The 13,633-nt window shown below is 52.8% G+C and overlaps 1 protein-coding gene across 10 annotated transcripts in view, besides 1 other annotated feature; it reads right to left on the reverse strand.

The window, feature by feature from the left end:
* Window positions 1-13,633, reverse strand: part of PNPLA7 (patatin like domain 7, lysophospholipase) — a 90,451-nt gene that overhangs the window by 11,198 nt on the left and 65,620 nt on the right. For 7 of the 10 annotated variants that reach the window (XM_047423367.1, XM_047423366.1, NM_152286.5 and 4 more), the window contains 5 exons: window positions 13,438-13,587; window positions 9,811-9,874; window positions 9,163-9,331; window positions 7,907-8,089; window positions 6,885-7,003 (listed from right to left, as the gene is read on the reverse strand). In XM_047423367.1, the coding sequence (XP_047279323.1) occupies window positions 6,885-7,003; window positions 7,907-8,089; window positions 9,163-9,331; window positions 9,811-9,874; window positions 13,438-13,587 (685 nt within the window). Of the gene's footprint in view, window positions 1-6,884; window positions 7,004-7,906; window positions 8,152-9,162; window positions 9,332-9,810; window positions 9,875-13,437; window positions 13,588-13,633 lie in introns of those variants that run through there. The other 3 variants (XM_011518664.3, XR_929794.2, XR_929793.2) reach the window with 3 other exon arrangements.
* Window positions 11,940-13,139: an enhancer, noted in NCBI's record as "MED14-independent group 3 enhancer chr9:140377541-140378740 (GRCh37/hg19 assembly coordinates)". NCBI's record gives its function as "activates an origin of replication core promoter dependent on BRD2, BRD4, P300/CBP and CDK7 cofactors, and independent of MED14, by STARR-seq in HCT116 cells {active_cell/tissue: HCT116}" and the evidence as "EXISTENCE:reporter gene assay evidence [ECO:0000049][PMID:35650434]".

Below are 13,633 nucleotides of genomic sequence, written 5' to 3' on the forward strand. Positions count from 1 at the left end.
GAAAATTTAACTATGTGTCTAGAAAGTCAAAAAGAATCTACAACAAAGCTACAAGAATAAATGAATTTAGCAGGGTTGTAAGATATAAGATCAATTTATAAATATCAATTGTATTTCTATATACTGGCAACAAACAATTTGAAAATGAAGTCTAAAAGATACCATTTATGGCCGGGCACAGTGGCTCACGCCTGTAATCCTAGCACTTTGGGAGGCCAAGGCGGGCGGATCATGAGATCAGGAGTTCAAGACCAGCCTGGCCAAGATGGTGAAACCCCGTCTCTACTAAAAATACAAAAATTAGCCGGGCGTGGTGGCAGGCACCTGTAATCCCAGCTCCTCAGGAGGCTGAGACAGAGAATTGCTTGAACCCGGGAGGTGGAAATTGCAGTGAGCCGAGATCGCGCCACTGCACTCCAGCCTGGGTAACAGAGCAAGACTCCGTCTCAAAAAAAAAAAAAAAAGATACCATTTATAATACTTTTTTAAAAGCCTGTAAAACCCTTAGAAATATAGTTAACAAAAGATGTGCAAGACCTCTACACTGAAGACCGCAAATCATGGCTGATCATAACTACAGAAGGCCTAAGTACATGGGGAGATCTGTCTAGATTGTGGGCTGGAAGGCTCAATGTTGTCGACTAATGATGTACAGATTCAATGTATTCCTCCATCCAAATCTCAGGAGGTTTTCTTTTTGGAGACACTGACGAGCTGATTTTAAAATTCACATGCAAATGCAAAGGGCCTAGGACAGCCAAAACAATTAAAGAAAAATGGAAAATGGAAGGAACTAGATGACTCCTCGATGCCAAGACTGACTGTGAAGCTACAGTAACTAAGGCAGTGTAGTATTGTCACTAAGGATAGAGAAACACACCAGTGGAACCCAGCAAGGTCCAGATGGGCTCACACCTGCAGGGCCACTGGCACTAAGGATAGAGAAACACACCAGTGGAACCCAGCAAGGTCCAGATGGGCTCACACCTGCAGGGCCACTGGATCTGATGGAGGCCTCAGCCTCACACCTGTTGGGCCACTGGATCTGACAGGGGCCTCAGCAGTTCAGGAGGGAGGGAAGGTGTACTCATCCATTTTCATTCTGCTCTGAAGAAATTCCTGAGACTGGGTTATTTATAAAGAAAATGAGATGGAGGCTGGGTACGGTGGCTCAGCAGGATTACCCAGCACTTGAGCCACTGTACCCAGCCTAAACCTCATTTTCTTTATAAATTACAAGCCTGTAATCCCAGCACTTTGGGAGGCCGAGGTGGGCGGATCACTTGAGGTCAGGAGATCAAGACCAGCCTGGCCAACATGGTGAAACCCCGTCTCTACTAAAAATGCAAAAATTAGCTGGGTGTGCTGGTAGGTGCCTGTAATCCCAGCTACTCGGGAGGCTGAGGCAGGAGAATCACTTGAACCTGGGAGGCGGAGGTTGCAGTGAGCCGAGATTGCACCGTTGCACTCCAGCCTGGGTGACAGAATGAGACTCCATCTCAAAAAAAAAAAAAAAAAAGATTTAGGCCAGGCAAAGTGGCTCATGTCTGTAATTCCAGCACTTTGGGAGGCTGAGGCGGGCAGATCACGAGGTCAGGAGTTTGAGACCAGCCTGACCAACATGGTGAAACCCGGTCTCTACTAAAAATACAAAAATTAGCCGCGTGTGGTGCCACATGCCTATAATCCTAGCTACTCAGGAGGCTGAGGCAGGAGAATTGTTTGAACTCAGAAGGTGGAGGTTGCAGTGAGCCGAGATTGCACCACTGCACTCCAGCCTGGGCGACAGAGCAAGACTCCGTCTCAAAAAAGAAAAAAAAATGGTTTAATGGACTCACAGTTCCACGTGGCTGGGGAGGCCTCACAATCATGGTGGAAGGTGAAGGAGGAGCAGAGGCACATCTTACATGGTGGCAGGCAAGGGCACATGTGCAGGGGAGCTGCCCTTTGTAAAACCATCAGATCCCGTTAGACTATCACGAGAAGAGTACAGGAAAGACCTGCCCCCATGATTCAATTACCTCCCACCAGGTCCCTCCCACAACACATGGGGATTATGGGAGTTATAGTTCAAGGTGAGATTTGGGTGGGGACATGGCCAAACCATATCATTCAGAGCAACCAGACACCACATGGGAAAAGTGAACTCCCACCTCACACCAGTCATGAAAATCAATTTGAGGTGGCTCACAGACTTAAGCATACAGGATAGAATAGAAAATCTTCTAGAAGAAGATGAAGAGTACCTCTGTGACCTTGGGATAGGCTGAAGCTCTCAGAACACTGGAATTAATAACCATAAAAAAACTGGAAAATCACACTTCAAAATTTTAAATGGTTCATCCAAAGATGCCATTAAGAAAATGAGAAGAAAAGCCAAGACTGAGGACAATATCAGTAATAAATGTATCTACAAAAGACTCGTGTTCAGAATAAAGAACTCCTTCGATACAATAGTAAAAGACAAAAACCTATTACAAAAGGAATAAAGAACTTAAATGGATACTCCACAAAAGAAGACACACAAATGGCCAGCAAGCTCATGAACAGGTGTTCTACGTCATCAGTCATCGGAGGGATGCAAATTAGAATCACAGTGAGACACCACTGCAGACCATTAGAATGGGCAAAATTTAAAATACTGCCATTACCAAGGGTCGGTGGGGATGTGGGTCACTCGAACTCTCAGACATTGCTGGTGGGAGTGTAAAACAATACAACTGCCCCACGACCGGGCACTTACACTCCTAGGCATTTGCCCAAGAGGAAAGGAAATGTGTCCACAGAAGGATTTGAACAAGAGTTGGGGCTGGGTGCAGTGGCTCACACCTGTAATCCCGGCACTTTGTGAGGCCGAGGTGGGTGGATCACTTGAGGTCAGGAGTTCAAGACGAGCCTGGCCCACATGGTGAAAGCCCGTCTCTATTAAAAATACAAAAATTAGCTGGGTGTGGTGGTGGGTGCCTGTAACCCCAGCTACTGGGGAGGCTGAGGTAGGAGAATCACTTGAATCCAGGAGGTGGAGGTTGCAGTGAGCTGAGATTGCACCACTGCACTCCAGCCTGGGCGACAAAGCGAGACCCCGTCTCAAAACAAACAAACAAAAGAATTGGTGATAACAGCTTTGTTTGTAATAACCAAAACCAGAAAACCAACCAACTGTGCATCGACAGGAAGGGGGATAAGCAAAGCGTGGGGAGGGCACCATGGAAGCTGGCCCGGCACTGCCACTGCTGAGAGTCAGGAGTGCAGACAAATCTCAGGCACGTTATGTCGCGTGATCAACGCCAGACACCAACAGGCGCCTCGTGGAAAATCTGAGCAAGCAAGGAGGGCACAAGGAAGGCGACGAGCATTCTCAGGAGCGCGAGGCAGCCCTGGAGGACACCGGAGTGCCGTGGGGAAACGCACGCGGACCTCAGAGATGTTTTAGCAGAAAAGATCAACTGCAAGTACATTTGAGAAAAATCTTCCAGAAAGTGGAACAGAAGGACAGAGATGAAGAATAGGGGAGAGAAAAGACTAAAAATTAGAAGATCCATCTAAGATGCCCCAAATCTGACCATCAGAAGCTCCAGGAAGGCTGGGCGCAGTGGCTCACGCCTGTAATCCCAGCACTTTGGGAGGCCAAGGCAGGCGGATCACGAGGTCAGGAGATCGAGCCCATCCTGGTTAACACAGTGAAACCCCATCTCTACTAAAAATACAAAAAAAAAAAAAAAATTAGCTGGGCGTGGTGGGGGCGCCTGTAGTCCCAGCTACTTGGGAGGCTGAGGCAGGAGAATGGCGTGAACCTGGGAGGCGGAGCTTGCAGGGAGCCGAGCCGAGATCGCTCACTGCGACAGAACAAGACTCTGCCTCAAAAAAAAAAAAAAAAAAAAAAGAAGCTCCAGGAAGAGAGAACACAGATAAGAGGGAGGTAAACATTTTCATTTAGAAAAATTAAAAATTTCCCAGAGTTGATGTCTGTGAGTTTCCAAATTTGAAAGGGTCCACTGGGAATCCAGTGTCAGTGGATGCAAAAAGAGCCACATGAAGGCCCATCATGCACTTTCAGAATACCAAGAGTGCAGAGTCTCAGGCCAGGCACAGTGGCTCACGCCTGTAATCCCAGCACTCTGGGAGGCTGAGTGGGGAGGATTGCTTGAAGCTGGGAGTTGAGGCTATAGTGAGCTTATGATTGCCACTGCACGCCAGCCTGGGCAACAAAGCGAGACCTTGTTTTGTTTTTTGTTTTTGTTTTGAGATGGAGTCTTGCTCTGTCTCCCAGGCTGGAGGGCAGTGGCGCAATCTCAGCTCACTGTAAGCTCCATCCCCCCGGTTCACGCCATTCTCCTGCCTCAGCCTCCTGAGTAGCTGCGACTACAGGCGCCCGCCACCAAGCCTGGCTAATTTTTTGTATTTTTAGTAGAGATGGGGTTTCACCATGTTAGCCAGGCTGCTCTCAAACTCCTGACCTTGTGATCTGCCCACCTTGGCCTCCCAAAGTGCTGGGATTACAGGCGTGAGCCACTGTGCCTGGCTGAGAACCTGTTTTTTTTTTAAAAAAAAAGAATCTCCTACGAGGTTCCAGAAGAAAAAACGGCCCTGTGAATAAAAATAGCATTAAATTTCTCAACAGCAATACAAAAAACTAAAAAGACAATGGAACCATGCCTTAAAATTCTCAGGGAAATTTATTTCCATCTAGAATTCTATACCCAGCCAAACTATCACTGAAGTATGGGAATAGAATGAGGACACTTGCTGATATGCATGGTCTTAAAATGTTTACTTCCCCATGCGTCTTCTCCTAGGGAGATTTCTAGAACATATATCCACCAAAATGAGGAATAAACCAATAAAGAAGACATGAAATTACAGGAAATGGAATTGAACACAGGAGAGAAACAAAGGCAGTTTCCAGGGTGGTGGTGAAAGAAAATTCCAGGCCAACATCTCAGCAGCATGTTAGAAAACAACCAGTAGAGATACGAAGAGGCTAGAGGGCTTTCGGGAGGATGACTCCTGAAAAGTAAACAGAGATGAGTGGTATGTCCGAACATACCGAGAGGAGGTTAATGCCTGCCTCAGTGTCTTCGGGTAAATTAAGGATACCCAGAAAACTGAACAAATGTGACAATTATTAACTCCAAGGAAGGAACTTCAATCATAGGATAGGATAGGATGTGACTTAGTTCTGAGTGACACCCACAGTGTCATAACAACACAGACAGTGAGTGCTGGCTAACTAGTGATGGGACCACACTGGGATTGAGTGGAAAGGAGGGAGACAGATGCATAGATGAGTGATTAATCAATAGTTAGCAGACTCTGATTGCGGGTGTTGAAGGGGGTTAAGAAGTCAACAATCTAAAACTAAAAAAAAAACCAAAAACTTAGTAGAATAGGAATATGATTTAGAAATACAGACAAGCAGACAGCTCAAAACACTGGACATGGTTATTTCTGGGATAACTCTGGAGGTGGTGCTGGAAGGAAGGCAAAGGACTGCAGTTACGTGCCTTACAGAACCGTATGGCTTCTAAGTATTACCTTGATCAAAGCTACTTTCTCATTAAAAATGCTGCTGATGTGGCCTGGGCTCAACTGCTCCAAGTCCCTGCACTGTCCCAGACCCACAGAAAGAGACTTGGGTCCTGTCCCCAGCCTGGCAACCTCAGGCAAGCCATTGAACTGCTGTAGGCCAACTTCCGCAGCTTTCAAGAGAAAATGTGGCACAAGACAAGGTGGAAAGTCCCTTAGACAGAAGGATGCAGTGGGCACCTCATCACCTAGAACAGCCCCAGGCTGACAGGGCCCTGCCCTGGGGCCAGCAGAAGCATCCTCGAGGCCCTGGGGCCACCTCCGAGCTTTTCCCGGGGTAGCAGTGCTGGCACTCCGTGGGAGATGGGAGGGGCTGCCGGAGAGGCCCCACCCCAGAAGGCAGCCCTGGCCTGGACCCCCGCCCAGGCACCCCTCGATGTCCTCCCTTCCTTTGGGGGCAGCGGTAGGAGGCTCCGCCCTGCCCCTTACGCACCTGGCTCAGCAGAGGGGCACATGCCTGTCCCACCCTCCTCGTGGCTCCCAGGCTCCATCTCTGTTCCAAGGGTATTTATTCAAGTTCAGGAGAAGGTGGTGTCTGACGACAAGGCAGGGGAGGAGGTATCTGGGTTTAAAGTCCCTGAAGGACTCAGTTTGGGCAAAGCAGATCATTCTTTATCAAGTATTGGAGTGAAGGAAACTCACCAGATGCTGGGAAAGACCGGCTAAGGAAAGAGCAGAGGTTTCAGAGGAGGAGGTGCAAAGGGCCAACAAGCAACCGCTTCTTTTTTTTTTTGAGACAGAGTCTCGCTCTGTCGCCAGGCTGGAGTGTAGTGGTACGATCTTGGCTCACCACAACCTCTGCCTCCTGCATTCAAGCAATTCTCCTGCCTCAGCCTCCAAGCAGCTGGGACTACAGGTGCGCGCCACCACGCCTAATTTTTCTATTTTTAGTAGAGACTGGGTTTCGCCACGTTGGCCAGGATGGTCTCAATCTCTTGACCTCGTGATCTGCCCGCCTCGGCCTCCCAAAGTGCTGGGATTACAGGCGTGACCCACGCGCCCGGCCCAAGCAACCACTTCTAAGCAAAGACAGTCAAAACGAGATATGTCTTCTACTAAACTGGCCCTAATAAAACCAGGGCCACTTTGGGTGTCAGTGGGCACACCGCATGTGCCAGGGTCTGCAGGGCCTGCTCAGAGGACAGGCCGGGGTGGAGGCTGGGTCTGGACAGGCGGCCTGAGGGTCTCGTCTGCGGGTGACACCCCCTGTCCCCCGCACCCAGCACCTCCTAGCACCCGAGGGGGCGACTGTCACCACACACACCAGTGAGGAGTGTGTAGGAAGCGGGGGGACTCACCTTGCTCCCCCTCCCCCAAGCACCAGGGCAATGGCGTTGCCCGTCAGCACCCTCGCCAGGCGGGAGAAGTCTGAGTGTCGGTCCGGGGGCCGCTGGAAGACATGCTTGTACATCTCCACCTGGGGGAGGAGCCGTCAGGCAGGGCTGGTGCAGGGCCCCACCCTCGGCCGAGACCTCGCATCCTGGCTTGACTGGGGGGAGTTTCCTCCACTTCTGACCCAAACTGACCCCAAATCCTCTCCAGCATGCAGCAGGCCCTGCCTGATACGACTGGTCAGCACCTCAGTGCCCGGACCGGGCCCCAGAGACAGCTCAGCTACTGGGGGGAGGACACTGGCAGAGGGTACGTGGGCAAGAGAGTGGGCCCGGGTGGGGGGCCAGAGAGTGGGCCCGGGTGGGGGGCCAGAAGGCATCCTCAGAGCTGTTCCCACTGGGGTCCCTCTATCCTGCAGCAGATGGTGCCTTCAGGGCGTGGGTTTCTGGACAGAGCTGTGGGCTGGGGGCCGTGAGCATGAGCAGACTCCCCACACCCCTCACTCTCAGGCCCCTGGGCTGCCTGAGGACACCGGAATTAAAAGTCTCAGGGCCTTCTGCCCAAAGGAGGGAGCAGCGCTGGCCTGAGGACACCCTCATCAGCTGGATGTGGGGGCCTCAGCCTCAGCCCTGAGCAGCCCTGACATGAGGCCCATCCCCCAGGGTTCACTGAGCCCCCCTGACGTCAGGCCCATCCCCAGGGTTTGCTGAGCCCCCTGATTCAGGCCCATCCCCGGGGTTCGCTGAGCCCCCAGCCCGATGGCCGCCCTGTGCCTGCCCCCACTGCACCGGCTGCTTCCTAGCCGTGGCCACCAGAGGCCCAAAGGGCAAGATGAAGGAGACGTGAGGCAGGGTCACGTTCACAAGCACAGGAAGGGCCCAGGAGCGCAGGTGTCAGGGAATCAGGTGGGGAATGTGAAGAATGCTTCGAACGTTCGAGGAAATGAACCACGGAGCCACGGGCAGGCAGCCTCCTCTCCCCGCCTCACCAGCTTGGGCAGGCTCCTCCTGGAGAAGACGCGGCGCGGGCAGCAGAGGTGCAGGTGGCCGGAGCACCAGCTCCGCATGTTGAGCCACTCCACGGTGCGCGCTGGCGCCGGGCCCTCCTCCCTGTGCAGCAGGATCAGCTGCTTCTGGGCACGCACAGCTGTGCTCTCCAGCATCCGCTCCAGCTGAAAGGCAGAGCCCACGTGTCTGCCAGCCGGGTGAGCCTGGGACTCGGGACAGGACGGAGCTGAAGGCCAGCACAGAGGGTCTGAGGGCAGGACCCCGGGAGCAGCTCCTGGGTTCTGCAAAGCAACTTGGCTGTGGCCTGGTCTGCCTTGGCGCTGCCGAAGCTCTGACGGCAGGGGTCCATCCGTCCACTGTGTGCTGGGCAAGGTCAGTACGGCAGGAGGGGGACGCCTCCTCTTTCTGTTTCTCTAACACTGCCTCATAAACACACACAGCAACCTTTCCAAATGAGGTATTTTGCAAACAAACTCTCACAAGGGAGCATCACTAGCTGCAGAACAGGAACATACATCAGAGAGGAGGAATTTTTAGCTGCCCCAGGATTAGCCCAGGCAGGCTTGTGATGAGAACAGAGCAGGGAGCAGAGGAGGGAGACGGGAAATGCAAACTGAAGGCAGGAAGCTGGAGAACACGAACAGGACTGGGTGGCCATGAGCCCGAGGCCTCGCCTGCAGCAATGGCCAGGTGGAAGGAAGCAATCAGGTCAGTGATCTGCTGCCATCTGGGAACCTGCAGACACAGCCTGGGGCCAGCGTCCCGAAGGTGCCTGCAGAAGGCTGTTCCTGTTGGCTGAGGATGCAGAGGCAGAGGGTAAGGCATTCACAAGAGGAAAACTAAGCAGCCAGAAAAAGCAGTGAGAGGAACAGGAACGACGCCGACACCTAAGTGCTGTGGAGAAAAGCAAACTTCAGATGACACAAAATAGGGCACCGTTTACGTAAAAGGTTAGTCCTGGAAAAGGCTTCCCGCACCTGCTGTAAAAGTGCGAAAGGCGGCCGGAGGCTGCGGCTTCACAAGAGGCCACGTGGGGCACCTGCCCTGCTCCGTGCTAGAACCCCTGGAGGTCAATACAGCACCGTGTTTTTAAAACATGGGTAGCAGATATCTGAGTGTTGGCTCTTATCATCTGTCTTTTTCTGAGTTTGTGCAGTATTTTACTCAAAGGAAAAGAGAAACAGGAGGTTCTGAAGAGAGGGCTCTCCCCAGCTCCACCGGCCCTCCCCGTGCTCACCTCGCCCACTGTGGGCTCCTGGTCACCCAGGCCCACGATGAGGATGCAGTCGGCCTGGCGCACGCAGCGCTGGGTCCAGGGTGTGAGCGTGCCATCTGCCTGGTAGAGCACGATCCTGTGGGTGTCCTCCTGCTGCCCCAGCCAGCTGGACAGCCGGTACTCGTGAACACTGCAGCACGCAGAGGGAGTACCTCACTACTCCGCAGGGGCCTGGCACTCTTAGCACATGTCCCCGGGGCAAAGAGGCAGCAGAGGCCAGCACCAGCCGCTGCCCCTTCCCCTCCCTGCCCAGCACTTCCTGCCATCGCTAGTTCGCAGTGAGTTATTCAGGGCCTAGGCAGTCACGCAGAGGCTGCAGTTAAGCCCAGAGGCTGAGGCTCGTTGAGGGGCAGGCTGGGGAGAGTGAGACCCGGGGCTGCCCAGGCGGGAAGCGGGGGCTGGGGTCCCCTGGGAGGCCTGACAGTGCCCAGCAGGTCAGCGCTGCCCAGTGTGTCCAGTGAAGGGAGTCACGTCATCAGCCCTCACACCACAGTGTGCTGGACGAGGAGCACGCTGCAGTGCAGATGCTGGATGTGGACACAGTGGGGACACATCTCAGGGCTGCGTTGGGCCGGCTGGGAGGAAGGAGTCGGGGCTGGCGGCACGCACCTGTCCAGGGCAGCGGAGCCAAGGCGCCGTTTTATGTTGTCACTAGTCAGCAGCAGGGTCGGGCCTGAAAACACCACCACCAGTAACGGAGCCTGCCTGGGCAGCCCACCTCCAACGCCAACAAGGCACCGACACCCAGCAAGGTACCGACGCCGAGCCAGGCACCGACGCCCAGCCAGGCACCAAGGAGGAGGAAGGCAGTGAGAGTCCACTCCCCAACCCCAAGGTCTGCTCCCCTTGAGCACAACTGCCAAGCCTTCTTCACCTGCCAGTGGGGAAGGGCCTGTGGCCTGATGCTACCTCCCATCTGCCCTGAAGGAGGCCTCGGGTAGCCTCTCTGAGCCTCGGTCCCCTCCAGCACGAGCAGCAGTGGAATCTCTGTGTCCTGCCACGTGTGCAGGGCAGGGAAGGCTGTGCGATGGGAGATAACGTAATTTCCAAAACCCAGATCATCGAGGTGCCAGACGCCAAGAGGCCAGGGTCCCCAGTGTTGACATGCCTGTTCGTATGCATCTTCCACATGGGCACGGCTGTCAGGGCCCTTCTCAACCAGGGGCGCCAGTGTCAGCCCTGGCATCACAGCCACCAGAGGCTCAGGGGAGAAGCTAAGATGAGGGGCTCAGCCTGAGGGGGTGCTGCTTGGCAGTGCCGGGTGGGAAAGGACCCAGAGCCCCATGTGTGGGAAGCAGGGAGGTCTAATTCTAATTAAAAGCTAGAGATCGGCTGGGCGCGGTGGCTCACGCCTGTAATCCCAGCACTTTGGGAGGCCAAGGGATCACGAGGTCAGGAGATCCGGTGAAACTCCATCTCTACTAAAAATACAAAACTTAGCTGGGTGTGGTGGCGGGCGCCTGTAGTCCCAGCTACTTGGGAGGCTGAGGCAGGAGAATGGCATGAACTCGGGAGGTGGAGCTTGCAGTGAGCTGAGATCGCGCCACTGCACTCCAGCCTGGACAACAGAGCAAGACTCCATCTCAGAAAAAACAACAACTAGAGATCAGATCAATGTGTCTCGTGCCTTAACTAGCAACATTTGTTTCTTAGAGGCACACAAAATAAGGGCCCCTCTTACAACTGAACTAGAATGCCCCCTGGGCTCAAGAGACAGCTCTGAGCTGAAAATCCAGCCCAATGCTGGTGCGATGTGCAGCAGCCGAAACCTGCTCACTGCTGTGGGACTGCAGCCTGGTGCAGCCTCACTGGAAGTCAGCTTGGTGGTTTCTTCTACAACTAAACATACTCCGACCACAGGATCCAGCAATCATGCTCCTTGGTGTTTACCCAAAGGAACTGAAAACCTCTGTCCACACAGAAGCACGCACACAGGTGTTTACAGCAGCTTCACTCATAATTGCCAAATCCTGGAAGCAGCCAAATGCCCTCCAGTAGATGAACAGATCAACTGTGGTGCGTCCAGGCAGCGGACGATGACTCAGCACCAAAAAGAACTGAGCTCCAGGCCAGGAAAAGGCCAGGAGGAACTTTGCGTGCACGTGACTGAGTGGGAGAAGGCCGTCTGCAGAGGCTACACCGTGTGGTTCCATTTCCATCACTTTCTCAGAATGACAAAATTATAGAGATCGAGAACAGATCCAGGGCTGCCGGCAAGCCGGGGTGCTGGGTGACAACATGGCAGCCACCTGCAGGGTCTCCTCCGTGACAGAGTGGCCCCGTGTGGTGCAGGTCACAGAAACGGCACCCACACCACACTGCACCACACACACCCAGGAGGGCACGGACGGGCTGCTGGGGCCCAAGGGGTCTACAGATGGCGTAAACGCCAACGTCCCGGCCTCGATGTTACCCCCTAAGGCGCTGCCCGTGAAGGAGCCCTGGCGAAGGGCACATGGGGTCTCTCTTTACTATTCCACAATTTCTCCGATCCTATAATTATTTCAAAATAAAGTGGGTTTTTTGTTTGTTTTTGTTTTGACACGGAGTCTTACTCTGTTGCCCAGGCTGGAGTGCAGTGGCACCATCTCAGCTCACTGCAACCTCCACTTCCCGGGGTCAAGCGATTCTCCTGCCTCAGCCTCCCTGGTAGCTGGGACTACAGGAGCCTGCCAACAAGCCTGGCTAATTTTTGTGTTTTTAGTGAGACGGGGTTTCAACATATTGGCTAGGCCGGTCTCGAACTCCTGACCTCAAGTGATCCTCCCACCTCAGCCTCCCCAAGTGCTGGGATTACAGGCGTGAGCCACCACGCCTGGCTTAAAAAGTGTTTTTTAAAGGGAACTAATTTATGTGACGTGGGACAGCTCCACCGCACAACTCGAAGATGTTTCTAAAGGGAACTAGTTTATGTGACGCGGGACAGCTCCACCGTACAACTCGAAGATGTTTTTGGACATACCTGGAATACTCTGACTGATGTCACCGGAAATGAGTAAGATTTTCTGCATATACTGGGAATATGTGTCATGTAACGACGGTCAAGGCCATCAGACAAGGCAATCCATGCTTTATGTGTTTTAAAATTTTGTTTTGAGAGTAACTTTCATTTATTTATTTTTGAGATAGAGTCTTGCTCTGTCACCCACGCTGGAGTGCAGTGGTGCGATCTAGGCTCACTGCAACCTCTACCTCCTGGGTTCAAGCGATTCTCCTGCCTCAGCCTCCCACATAGCTGGGATTACAGGCATTTCCACCACCACGCCCAGCTAATTTTTGTATTTTTAGTAGAAACGGGGTTTCACCATGTTGGCCAGGCTTGTCTAGAACTCCTGACCTCAAGTGATCCACCCGCCTCGGCCTCCCAAAGTGCTGGGATTACAGGCATGAGCCACCGCACGTGGCTGAGAATAACTTATAAGTATTCGATGTTTATAGTAGCATCTTTCTATATTATAAATTTTTTGAATGTATTGTTTTCTATTACCAAATGTCTGTATCAGGAGGGAGCATTTTCACATGGTTCTGAAATACTCTTGTCACAATATATTGTTTTATAATAATTATACAACATTCATTGCATTTATTATTATTATTATTTGAGACAGAATCTTGCTCTGTCGCCCAGGCTGGAGTGCAATGGTGTGTGATCTTGGCTCACTGCAACCTCTATCTCCCGGGTTCAAGCGATTCTCCTGACTCAGCCTCCCCAGTAGCTGGGATTACAGATGCGCACCACCACGCCCAGCTAATTTTCGTATTTCTAGTAGAGATGGAGTTTTACCATGTTGGCCAGGCTGGTCTTGAACTCCTGACCTCGGCCTCCCAAAGTGCTGGGATTACAAGCATGAGCCACCGCGCCCGACCGCATTCATTATTATTGCATTATTTTGCCAAGACAACACTGAAATTTTTAGCATAACCTTAAACCCACAGAAAACTGACTTCCTGTCTATCATCATGGTCCCTATCATCACATGAAAACTTGTAAATAAAATGTTGCAAAGAATATAGAATAACTTAGAATTTTGAGAGTTCTCAGGAAATTCAATTCCTTGCCCTTGAATCCCCAAATTTAACAGCTGCCAGCAATTTGGAAACACTACCGAACACTGACCCCAACTGAGCCCTGCCCACCCACCGCCGCGTCCCCTCGAAGACAGAGGGCAGCCGGCAGGCGCCCTCCACCAGGCCCAGAACCCAAGGATGGCTGGAGGCTGGGAGGCTCAGGCTTACCGATGGCGCTGAGGGCATGCTCCAGCTCCAGGGCGAAGGCGGTGAGGGGCACTTCCTCTGACACGGGCATCACTGCCACCGTGGACAGGTTGACAGCCGGGTTCCCCAAGTCCCACTTGCTGCCCTCCGTGGGGAGCCCAAGCTGGTGGCCTGTGGAGCAAAGGACCCACGTCAGCTGGGACAGCCCACACGCTCA

Source organism: Homo sapiens, chromosome 9, assembly GCF_000001405.40.
Source record: "Homo sapiens chromosome 9, GRCh38.p14 Primary Assembly".
Lineage (NCBI taxonomy): Eukaryota > Metazoa > Chordata > Mammalia > Primates > Hominidae > Homo > Homo sapiens.